This window comes from Homo sapiens, chromosome 16 (assembly GCF_000001405.40).
Source record: "Homo sapiens chromosome 16, GRCh38.p14 Primary Assembly".
Lineage (NCBI taxonomy): Eukaryota > Metazoa > Chordata > Mammalia > Primates > Hominidae > Homo > Homo sapiens.
The window spans coordinates 61227428-61240947 of record NC_000016.10 but is presented as its reverse complement, the minus strand read 5'-3'; the positions used below and the strand labels follow the sequence as shown (position 1 = coordinate 61240947).

Genomic DNA, 13520 nt, shown 5'->3' with positions numbered 1-13520 from the left:
TGTGAGGTTATCATAGCACATAAGGAAGCAGGCCACTTCACCCTAATCTTTTATTATGCAAATGGAGTCTCTACTTGGCTGGCACATGTTGCCTGTTCCTTACTGTACCCATGGTTGACAAGGAAAGGGGAAGGGAAGATGGAGCCCCCATGTTGGACATGTCTAGCCCCCAGGTAGCCTTTTCCTATTGGCACAGCTGCCGGCATTCACCTGTGCAAGCTTCCAGCTTGCTCATATGTGTCTGCAGCTTGATTTTACAGGCTGTTTTTTATTAGAAAAGAAAATTATTTGGGGGCTGCTTTTCATTAAAAGGAAAACCTCACTAGCTGCCTAAATAATTTCTTCTTAACTCCTATATCAGGACCATGAAATGTGCTTCTACTGGCAGGAATTTAAGTTGAGATCCAGAGGTCCTCAGTACAGAGATGTCCCATAAGTCATCCCCAAACTTAATTTTAGACTTTTAATGAAACTACAAATGTACTTGGATCTGTGTCTGTATCTTTTTTTTTTAACTATTGTGACAAAATCCCTATATTCTGATACCCTAGCTTATAGAAATTCTTGATACCTGTTAAGTAATGTTTCCTTTTATTCTTTTAAAGTGTCTTGGCTATTGTCAATGAAATAGGTCAAACTCTAAAATGTTTGAATAGATATATTCTTAGCCAAATATGTGTCACCATTGTCTGTGACATAGCTCCAGGAAATCTTGAGAACATGTGCCCAAGGTGGTCAGGCTAACAGATTGGTTTTATGTATTTTAGAGAGACATAAGATATCAATCAATACATGTAAGATTTACATTGGTTTCAGTCGAGAAAGGTGGGACAATTCAGAGTGGGGGTTGTCAGGGGCCTCTAGATTCTATGTGAATTCAAAGAATCTCTGATTGGTAATTGGTTAAAAGAGTTTATCGAAAGATTGGAATCAAGAGAAGGGAGTGTCTGGGTTAAGATAATGAGTTGTGGAGACCAAGGTTCTCATTATACAGATAAAGTCTCCAGGTAGCAGGCTTCGGAGAGACTAGATTGTTCATGTTTCTTATCAGATTTAAAGAGTCTGTTCTATCAGTTTTTAGGTCTCTTTTTCAATGTAAATGCTGGTTAGCTGTGCCTCATTTCCAAAAGGAGTAGGGTTTAATGAGGTATGTCTGAGCATCCATTCCCATAATGTCCTGAACTGGTGTTTCATGTTTATTTTAGGATGCCTTTGGCCAAAGAAGAGGGGTCCATTCAGTTGGTTGGGGGGCTTAGAAATTTATTTTTAGTTTACACTATTGTTTGTCATCTGAAACCATCTGTCAATTTCTACATAAAGACCTGTTTTAAAGTACTGATTGGCATTACAATCAAGTGTCTAGAATAGTTTGGGGAGTATCACTGCATATATGACACAAAGTCTTCCCATCCATAGACATGGTATATTTTTTCGTATATTTTGTGTTCTTTATGACTTATGAAAAGAGTTATAATATCGTACAAAATATCTAACTGTCTCTTGTAGGTTGATTCCCTACATTCATTATTTCTTTTGCTGACACTTTAAATAATATCTTTTAAAATTATATTTTTGTTACTAAATAAAAGATTCAAATGATTGTTTTATGTTGATGTATCCAGCAATCTTTCTGAACTAGCTCAATAATACAGCAATGTTTCTGATCTAGGTCAATAATTTAGGATCAGGTTGCTACAACTACCTCTATACTACTATAGAGATCAATAATTTAGGACCAGATTGCTACAACTACCTCTTTATAGTAGTATAAATATAGTAAATTATTTCTTTTTAAAAGTCTCATCAAATGATAAATAATTTTTAAGGCAAAGAGAACCAAATGGGCTATAGAAACCTGTGTGTGTGTGTGTGTGTGTGTGTGTGTGTAAAGTTTAATTTGTTCTTTCCAGTTCTTAAATTATGTTCCTTTGTCTTATTTTTAAATTGATGCCTATGACTTCCAGTAGAGCATTGTACAGAAGCAGTGAAGTGGCATCTTTTATTTGTTACAAATATTAAAGAAAATATTTCTAATCATTCGACAAAAATTTATTCTATAGATTTATCAGGTTAAAGATATGCTTTTCTATTCCTAAAATCATAACCACATCTTTAAATTAATCAAATATTATTTCTAAATCTATTGATTACATTTCCCATCAATAGGTCAGTATGGTGAATCACACTAGTATTCTAACTGAATTAAGTCATGTATATTTTTTAGAATAAACACTACTTAATCATAATATATTAGGATGTTTCAGTCAATAATCAATAGATTTGGTTTGATACTTTAAAGAAAATTTTGTGTCTATATTTCTAAGGGATTATATAATTTTTCTTGCTTCAACTATCTTTCACTTAGTTGGGGTATTAAGATGATGTTGATTTATATTACCTTGTCATAAATGTTAAATGTTGTTACCATAAAATTGATACCTACTAGGCACTCAACAGTTGCCCTTATGATTTTCTTTTGTCTTGATTTTCTTTAAAAAAAAAAAAAAAGGAGGCTAGCAAAACCTACTGCTCAGGCCGTTTGTTAGGCTTAAATAAAATAGGATCTGTAAAGTGCCTAAGGCAGTGTTTGGCACATTAGAGGACTCATTAAATGCTAGCTCACTTGCCCTTTCCCCTTGGCTGTATGTTTTTGAAACAGGGCAGAAAAGCAGGCACGATGGAATGCTCTTTTTGTGAAGCCAGCTTAAAATAGTCATCAACACTGAAGTCAGTGAATGTGTTTGGTTTCCATTCAAAATGTTACTTTCAGAAATACACACAGGGTTCATTTGCATAATCACTCTCCAGGCTAGGAACCTGTCCCTGAGGGGTTATCATTATTTAAATCTAAGTTAGGTTATTATCGTTCTTCATGCTGAGCTGCTTGGCTTTTCTTCCTTCCCTTTCCCTTGACTGCTGCAGCTGCATCGCTCTGAATGGGAGCTTGACCGGTGGCTCCGCTATGGAGAGATTTAGGGCAAAAGGCAGCGTGTCTAAGTGGAAAACGCCATGGGCTCTGGAGTAGCAGATGAGGTTCAAATCCCAGCTCTGCTTCTCACTAACGGTGGTACCTTGGCAGCACGACTTCACCACTTCTCTAAGCCACAGCTCCCTGTGCTCTGAATGGGAGTTCAGTTGTTGAGAAGCGTAACTGGTGTTTTACAGATTACATACACCATTTTAACTAAAATATACCCTTTAATGATGTTAGTCCTCTTCTCTGCCTCTTTCTGTCCATATGGAGGAGTTAACACATCTCAGAAAAGAAACAAAGACATATCAAAGGAAAGAGAATTGGCAGTGGGGAAAAGGTAATCAGAGAAGTTCACTTAAATAGCAAAAACTTCTTACCTGTGAGAATCATTTTTTGGGGAAAAGAATAAACATGAAAGTCCAAAGTCAAGGGACACGGCAGAGGAGAATATGAAATTTCATACTGGGTATTGCATCAAGGAAGATATAATAAGTCTCCATGGAGAGAGAGAGGAAACCACTTGGTTATGGGGAGAATTGGAATGGTGATGCCAATTAGAGACAAGAATGATAAAACATAAATATTTTGTTCCTTTATTAAGTGAGGGCTGTATGATGGAAATAATGAAACTCAGAGGAAAGACATCATCTATGAGTTGTCTTCTGTGCTGTGTTCTTCCAACTAGAGGATGTAGATAATTTAATGCTCACTAGTATACTTTATAGTAGGTAATGCATTGGTGTCTATGTTATGGGTGAACAAACTGAGTTTCAGACACATTAAGTAAGTAATTTGTCCAAGACCACTCAGCTTAATGGTGCCTGAGTTGAATTCTAATTCAAGTCCAGCTAAATTACAAGTATTTCATACTCTTTCCTCTTGGGAATCTAACCATACTGGGTCTTCCACTTTCTAAGATTATAATGGTATGCCAGTATAGTTTATAAAATGTGCTTGTGTGCCAGCAAAGCTTTTTAAAGAAGGATACTTACAGCAAACAGGCAGTGAGGAAAGGTGCTAATGTTGACTGCAGTTTAAACTCAGTGAAGATTGTGGCCACTAAGGAGACTTCTTACAAAAATAATGGAAATCTGTTTTGTTGTAAACAATGACACATTTCTATCATCACACATATTGTTTCTCCCCACAGTCCACAGAAGATTCTAGAGGATCATTTTGTTACCAATTAATATGGTACTGGGCGCCAGAAATAAAATGCATTGTATGTATTGCATGAATAGCACACCTTTAGAGTACAGGAAATATATATTATATAAATATATTATATTATTATATTAATTAATATTATATTAATATATAATATATAAGTATATTTCCTATACTCTAAATATAATATAATAACATATATATATTTCCTGTACTCTAAAGATGTGCTATCCAGTAAGGCCAGTAGCCATGTGAGCTATTTGAAGATACATTAATTAAATAAAATTACACATTCACTTCCTCAGTCTTCTTAGTCACATTTAAAAGTGTACATTAGCCACAAGTAGCTAGTGTTTACTGAACTGAGCAAGGCAGCTGTAGAACGTGTCGATCTTGATAGAACAGTCTGTTGGACAGCCTGTATCATAGGTTCCTAATTCAGACTTGGCTTGGGGTTAAGATACTAAACTTACTGCCACTGATGCTCCCAATACTTCCAGTTGCTTATCAGCAGATTCTAGATTGTTTAGTCATTTAAGTAACCATGTAAGAAAATAATGAAGGATGAGGAGACCAAGGCTCAAAGTAGTAAAGCAATTTACCCAAGGTCACTGAGCTAAGAAACAATGGCCTGGATCCAAATGCAAGCATGTCTGACATCAGAGCCCAGGCTCTCAACATCAGGGTAATCCTCCTCACATCTAAAATACAGTGTGGCACATGGGATAATTGTACTGTGTGCAAGTTAAATAAAAGTAGTATAGAAAGCTAGGATCGCTCAGGGAATTCTTTACCAAATAAGGGATAACCAGAAAAAGTTCTGAACTGTAAATGAGAATAATTTGGGTGAACAAAATGAGGAAGAGAAGCGTAAACAGAGAAAGAAAACAGCAAGATGTTCTGAGTTGCCCTTTCAAGCCAGTGCTATTTTATACTTTTCTTTTTTTAATTGAGACTTTCTAAAATGTATGTCTTGGGCACCTACTGTGTGCTTGGTATTGTGCTACATCTTGTGAATATAACTCAAAGAGGTTGACCAGTTCTCTGAAAGTTCAGAGTCTCTGGAGAGCACATTTTGGAAAGGAAACAATTTGAAATAGCACTAGAGTAGGTTCTATTTTGTATAAAATTCCATTTATTAAATGCCATGGCCATAGAGTCAAATAGAATCAATATTAATGGAACTTGGAATGTCAACAAATCTTACTTTCTGTCCAGAGGAAGAATAGTTTTTTTCTTAGTCCATGATCGCACATTGTCTTGATTGACCTAGTAAAGTTGAATATACCTGTTCAAAGATACTGCATTGGAAAAAAAATATATTTAAAATGCTATTTCTTCCTTACTTTGGGTGCAACTTTTGGGACATGAAAGAACCTTTTCAAATACTTCCCTAACCTTAGAAATGAGAATATTAGTATTTTTGTATAAGTGCTCTTCTGAGTATTTTATGAACTCATGTGTATTATCTGTTTAGCTTAGTGTCATGCCCATAGTATAAACTGAATAAGTTACATCTCTTTCACTTTCACAGGAAAGGAATATATTTAAACTGTTCTAATTATTAAAATTGTCTTTGTACGTGACAAAGGGCATATTTTGTCTTTACAGGATATTTCTTTTTTTTTTCTTTTCTTAGCACAATATCTTGTTCTTCAAAATCCCATGGTATTTCTTAAATTATTATTGTCATTTTATCATTTATCTTGTAATTTTAACATTTCAAACCAATATACAATAGAATGGAACAGCCATATAACAGTACTAAATAATTACCTAAATAATGTTTTGCATAACTCTCTGTGCCCTCTCGGTTGTAGAGTTACCAAGTTATCCATTCACATTTTAGTAGAAAAATAGTAAGCATAGCAAAATTTTGTTTCTCATGCATTTTACATTTTGTATGAAAAAAATAGAAGCACTTTTACAAAAGTAAACTGTCCAGGCCGACTTCCTCAGAAAAGATTCTATTCCCCAAATCCTGTCAGTTTTCTACAGGTTCAGGTTCTGCATGACTCTACATTGAACATTCAAATGAGGTTACACAGTGGCACTGCCGTGGAGGAAACTGCTTAGTTATCTCAATTCTCTCAAGATCTTTCACCTCATCCTTCCTGGTAACCTTAAGCCTGTCCTAATATTTTAAGAACAGAATTATTTCACTGCAGCTCTGAACGTGGAAAAGCTACATGTTTGCTCAAAGGAAACTGTTCATATTCAAAATTAGTGAGTAAAATCTAATGTAATTTCTTTTTTCAAGCCTTAATGTGGTTTCTCTGAAAAGCTACCCCCTAACTGTATATTCCATACTTGGGTTTCATGGCATTAAATTTTTATGAGCTTAATTTTCATCAGTTTCCTAAATTCAAGCAGCAATTTCAGTAATAGTATATGTGCTTCATAAACAACAAGTGCATATGCATAATGTTGTTTAATCGGAAAAACTAAAAAGTTAAATTCTCTGTGATCCTTTTTAAAAGGAATTTTCCTTAGGATGGTAAAATCTTAAGAATTTTATTGCGCCTGATGGTTGTTTTTTTTCTTGTGCTATTCAATGATATTACATTTAGCTTTCAATGACTTCACCAACTCCAAAACTAATTATGTAACCTGAATACATTCCCTGAAATTTACTATTATAATACATTTTCAAATATAGCTTATATTAGAAAATAATGCTAAGTTACAGTTGACTTTATTAATTCTCATCAATGAAAACAATCTGCATAAGTAACTTACATCTTATTCATAAATAGTTTGTATTTTAATATTTCCAGCTTATTTATTCAGTTACTGATGACTGGGGTAACAAAAATAGCATGGCCCCTGTGTGTTGCATCTATTGTTTTCCTAGGAAGTTTCAAATCCTTTTTTACAACAGACATCCGGAATAGCATTGTGAAATAACCCACATGGATTCTGGCTTCAGTTTTCTGCCAGGAAACGTGAGACTGCGTAAGAAAGAATTCTTAATGATTGATCAGCTAAACTTTGCTTTCTTTTCCTTGGTTACATTCTTTCTTCCATTTGGGCTACTAAAGCCATTTCTCATGCAGTAGTTATACCTTGCACTAGGGTGAACAACTGTTCACAGATAATTTATGTGCACAGATAATTTCTATGACGGATTCCTTTGAGGAAAGAGCACATTTTAATCAGAAGAGAGCGGCAGAGAGAGAGAATGCTCATGGGGAATCAACGACCACTTTTACAACAGCCTTAAATGCCTCTGCAAGGTCCTTTTCCCACCAAGCCTTCACAGAGGAATGGCGCTACCATCCGCCCAAGTGGCTCAAATGAGCCTATGTCTACTTTGAATAAACTCTGGTACATCTCCCCCAGAAAAGCACAAAGTACAGTGTGATTACGGATTAAATAATAATGACTACTGCCCTCAGATGTCTCCTGACAAATCTGAGGTATTTAATTGATATGAATTCTCTTTTAGTCCTTTTCCTCTACGTGCAGAATTACTTTATCTTACATCTTATTGAAAGAGCTAGTATCTGAAGCCCATTTAAAAGTAAATAATTCATTCTCACTGAAAAAGTACAAAAATCAACTTTATTAGAGAGAAATGTATGAGACTAAAGAAATCAACTAATCTGACCTGGATTATCTAGTTCTCTGTTTATAGCTAACTTTATCTAGTCATATTAAATGGCATTCCTAACAACAATGTATAGAAATTTTCATGTCAACTAAAGCAAATTTTTTTTTCAAGTAAAAAATAGATACTATGTGATTTCTCTAATGTCAAACTTTAATTGACCAGAGACTATTCTGGAAATGTGAATTCTAGTCCTAAATGAAGGAGGAAAGGAGAGCAGGAGTGAAGGAACAGTGAAGAAATTAAGGGACTTAATTTGAGGACAGCATTTGAGACTTATAAGAATTAAACAGATAATATGTGAACATGTCTGCAAATGTAGGATTATTAGAATATTTTGGAAATACATTTTTAAATTTTAAGCCAGTTTGGATTTATGGTGACATTGTGAAAATAGTGCAGAGAGCTCGATATACTCCACAGCCAGTTTATCCTGTTAATAATGCCTTAAAATAGTATGGTGCATTTAGTTGCCATATCATCACACAGGCTTGTTTGAGTGCTACAGTTTTTCAAACTTTCCTTGTTTTTCATGACCTTGACAGTTTTGAGTAATACTGCTTAGGTATTTTGTAGAAGCCTCCTCCACTGAGAATTTCCTGATGCTTTTCTCATAATTACACTGGAGTATGAGATCTGGGGAGGAACATCACAGAAGCTGTATTTTCACCACATCTTACTGAATGCACATACAGTCAATATGACTACTCACTGTTGATTTTGACCTTGATCACCTGATTTAGATATCATTTGTAAGGCTTTCTGAATGCAACATTGTCTCTATTCCCAACCTTTGATATTGTACTCTTTGAAAGAAAGTCATGATGAGCAGCACACACTGAAAGAGTAGAGTCATGCTTCACCTTCTTGTTGGAGGTACCGACATGAATTACTTGGAATTCTTTTGCAAAGGAGATTGTCTATTTCTTTTTGAGTCAGTTTCGGTAGTATATGTCTTCACAGAGATTTGTCAAATTTAAGTTAGTTGTCTAATTTAGTAGCGTATTCCTTTATAATCCTTTTCATTTGTGTTAGAACAATAGTAACATCACCTAATTTCTCATCCTAGCAATTTGAGCATTGTTTCTCATTTTTTTTCTGTCAATTTAACTAAAGGCTTGTGAATGTTGTCAATCTTAACAAATAATAATCTTTTGAATTCACTCTTTTTTCTCTATTGTTTTTCTATTCTCTATTTCATTAGTTTCTGATTTAACTTTTTAAAAAAATCCTTCCTTTTGCTTGCTTAAGGCTTAAACTTCTCTTATTTTTCTAGTTTCCTAAAGTTGAAGCTTAGGTTATTGAATTTTGGTTCTTTCTCTTTTTTTCCTATAACTGTATATACATTTATGCTATACACTTTCCTCTAAACACTTTTCATTGCCTTGCACAAATTTTGTTAAGTTGTATTTTAATTTTCATTAAATTCAAAATAAGTTTTAAAGTAACTTGAGACACCTTCTTGGCCCCATGCGTTGTTACATAGAAATATGTTGTTTAATCTTCAAATATTCATAGATTGTCCAGCTATCTTTCTATGATCTTTACTTTGCATTGTTAGGTGCATACACATTTAGGATTACTTCATCCTCTCTGAGAACTGATCCCTTTATCACTATGCATGCTCCTCTTTATTCCTTATAATCTTCTTTGTTCCAAAGCCTGCTTTGTCTGAAATTAAAACAGCTATTTGAGTTTTCTTTTGATTTATGTTAGCATGGTATTTTTTCTCCATTCTTTTTGTTTCTAACCTATCTAAGTCTTTATATTAAAGTTAGATTTCACTTTTTTTCTTGTACAGTTGGGTCTTATTTATTTATGTGTAAACTTTTATCCAGTCTGATAATCTCTGTTTTGTAAAACATGCATTTAGAACATTTACATTTAAATTGATGATTGATATAGTTGTAACTGTAGGTGCCAGCATCTTAAATTTCTTTTGATAGAATTGTTTTTGTCTCTATTCTTAAATTTTGGCTTCCCAAATTATTCATCTTCAGGGAGAGTCTGCGTCTTAAAACTCCTTCAATTCTAATGCACCAGACTCTCATTGGTGCGGTGGTAAGGCATGGAGGTGGTGAAACATTCTATGTGTCTTTTAGAGAGCTTGTATCCCTGGCTGTAACCTTTACAAGTGTTTTGTAGTTTCTGCCCCTAACCTGAGTTGGAGAAATGCCTTTCTCCCAGACAGAATGATTGTGGTGAAATCTTTCCCACAGAGCATAGGTTATGGTTATGAAGAACAGTTGGCCATATTTGATTTAGATTACTCTTCTCCATCCTTCCATGATGGGCTCTTTCTTGGTTCCTCAATGCCACAGCCTACTGAGGTCCCTGGTGGTAAGATTCACCAATATGTGGGGGCCTTCCTAAAACCTCAGCTCCTAGGAGCTTCTCACTTTCCTGATAGTCCTTATTCAGTTTCCAGCCATTCTTCAAAATTGACAGTTTAATGTTCTTACCAGTTACGGCTCTAGAATCTTCTGCTCCAGTTAACCAGATCCAATGAATGTCCCTCTCTCTCCAGGCATTAGGGTAACAGTTTGCCATGTGATTTCTGTTCTCCAACACACCCAAGAAAAGCAGTTAAAAAGCAGTTTGTTCAGCTTTTTTTCTCTTAGTATAAGGTTGGGAGTAACAAATTTCAAACCTTTTACATGTTGGAGCTAAAACTAGGAGCTCTCTCACAAGGAAAATTTTTGGAAATGAAATAACTAAGTATCTTAGCTTGTTTTTGACCTGAAACAAAGCCTGAGAAAAGGATTCCTGTTTCAACAGGGTATGCAGATGTTGATTCCAGAAAGTATCATATGTGGTCAGGAACATGAGACAGAGAAAGAACGAAAACCCAAATAAGGTATGTTAATAAACAGATTTGTTATAGGCAAGTGGTTCTTATCCTGTGAGACCCCGTAAACTCCTGCTGAGAACCTGGGAGTCTTACATAAAACCTAGAAGCAAGAAGCTTGGTGGTTACGAACCAACTTTCATTTGTCATTGGTTGGAAAGAGCTCCCAAGCCACTAAATCCTTAGCATTCTAGGATGCTCCCAGTGAAGGTCCTCAGGCAGAAAATAGTAGGTGATCACAGTAAGATGCTGTTGGCCAAGGAAATAAGTGAAGTACTGACAGCATTTGTTATACCAGATTTCTCTTTGCAATGCATGTCAATGCCTATGCTGTACAGTCAGTGCCTGGTAAAGGCAAAAATCTATGGATTGTCTAACTCCAATGTTCTTTTTACTCTCCCTACCAAATAATTTTCTTCATAAGAAATTACAGTATTTCTGCATTTCCACAAAATTTCTTTTTCTTGGTATCTTTCAGAATTTACTAAGTGTTGCAAAAGATATGAGAGCCCTGCTGGTCATATGACCTGACCTTGCAACAAGAAGCTAGAGGGCAGCTACAGGAATCTCTAACTTGCTAGCCATTGATGTTGGGCTGCTCATTCAGAAAGACATCCAGCTTTGAGGATGAAGCTTCCAGGGAAAAGGGATGTTCATTTCTATTTGCTGCTTTGCTGTCTCCCCTGAAGCTGCCCTCCTACCAAATGTACAGTTTAGAAATCATTTACATTTGTTAAGCTTCACTGCCTTTCTATCTAAAGTTATAAAAAGGATTCATCTCATAGTTTCTCCAAGAACTTCCATTAAAAAAAAAAACCTTTCTATTTAATTATCTCAATATGTGTTCTTTTAAATTTCAGACAGTACTCTATGTGTGGAGGAAATGAGTGGAAAGATTTAATATCGGAAATGTCCAGGAAGTCACTGAAGTCCAGAAATTCATTGTCTTTCTTTTATTTTCATCAATTATACTTTCTAAGATGTATGCAAAATCTTTGATGATGTCCATTTTATTCATTCTACATCAATTTTTATTCCAAAGCAAGGCATTTTTTCCTATTAAAAAGCTATACACTGAAAGATTTTCCTTGATCTGCCTTAGTATAAAATAGAGATAGTACAGAATACCCTTATTTTATACTGAAGCTAATGCATGCAAATCAGACTCCAAATCAGATTCTGTACTGATTATGTCTTCGTTACCAGCTATGTGGCTCTGGACAGGTTACTTAACCCCTCCAGGACATCAATTTGTTTATTTTAATAATGAAGAGAATAATATACCTTAGGTAAATGCCTATACTAGATAATAATAAAGTTTGCTGTTAGTAGAAAATTCCATAGACCTGAATGTGATTGCCATTATCACTTAATTTTATAATGTTACCCCTTCCCAATCTTAAAAATAATCACTAATATCACCAACAACAGTCTCATGAAACCTACAAAGACAATCTTTTGTGGAGTTTGAAGTTTCAAAAAATATGTTTCAATATACAAATTTTATTATTAAAATTAAAGTATATTACATATTTGTATATTATCCCCATATGCCCCCTGAAGCCTACTATATATGGTCCTAGACTCTCAAATATAGTTAAATTATGTGTGGCTGGAAACTTTGACAACATTTTTGGAAAAGACCTAAAGTAATATTTTCCCATCTTTTGTCAGTAGCAGTTGAAAATAGATTTCAATAAAACAAGTTAAAACCACATAATGCTCCAAAATATCCCCGGAACAAACCAGTCAAGAAATACACCCATTTATGCTGACTTCATCAGTTTGAATTTCTGTTGAATTATCTCCAAGTTGGGCTCATTGTTAATTTTGAATTTTGCAGAATGTTCATTAACTTCATAGCTGGCTGTAACTGTGAGTTTGCACTACATAAATTTGGACAAGAAAAGAAATCTAACTAATATTTGCCAAATTCATAAAATGTTAATGAAAGTAAATAAAAAACCTTATTTTTGCTTGCTAAGTATTTTACGTCTTGTTCTCATGGTTTCTTCATATGAAAATCATTGATCCGATCATTAGTAGATATTTCCCTTAGGTTAGGATAAATTATAGGGCGATTCAGATAACCATAAATTTGAAATAATCATTTCTTACTGAAATGTCAATTTTCCTTAAAGAGATGTGTATGCACACTTTAATTTGAGAATCCAAAATCAATGTCATTCATAATTAAATTCATGGCATACCACACCTTGGAAATTATCTCCTTTTCTATTCAGCAACATTTCCTTATCATCATAGGTCAGTGGTTTTACACATAAATTATTTATTTAGCCCAAGAAATCAGATGAGACCATTTACCCACCCCATTTATTTTTTGCCTCCTTATACAAGCTTCTTATAAGACTCCCACAAGCCTGCAGAGTAGTAGAGTTCAGAGAAACCCTACATAGTTAGCTTTTAGTTCCTCAGTAACCGTATCTACCAAGAACTCAACTTCAAATCAGGAAGAAATTTTTTTTTTTTTAAAGCAACATGTCAAAGTGTGTGTCACAGAGCCCTTGTCATAAAACAGGACCCGCAGTCAGCACGTATTGATGGGGACTTATTTTATCTGTTGATTTATTTTAATTTTGCAATGCTATTACCTGGCATAAACTCATTTTTAAGTACATCAATGAGACCCTCTATAAGAAGAATAAAATAAATAGCCTTTGTTGTCTCTGCCTCACCAACTAAGTTAAATGCCACTAGTTTGTGCTCTCTTAACATCGTCTGTTGGCCTTTTAATAATATTTATTACATCATGTTATAACTTTTTTGTTTTGTTTGATCCATGAGCTCCTTTGACATATGACTGATATTTCTTTCTGGCTTAATGTTTATGGAGGAGATCACCAAATTCTACCTACTTTAAAGTCTAAGACAGTCTTTATCAGTGCATTTCCATATAGCAG

General features: G+C 34.6%; 1 long non-coding RNA gene across 1 annotated transcript; it reads left to right on the top strand.

Annotated features, from left to right (window-relative positions):
• The first annotated feature begins 6309 nt into the window (after window positions 1-6309).
• LOC105371301 (uncharacterized) lies at window positions 6310-11785 on the top strand. The gene is made up of 3 exons (XR_933655.2): window positions 6310-6367; window positions 10530-10608; window positions 11078-11785. It is a non-coding gene; the product is annotated as an uncharacterized LOC105371301 (long non-coding RNA).
• Window positions 11786-13520: the final 1735 nt, after the last annotated feature.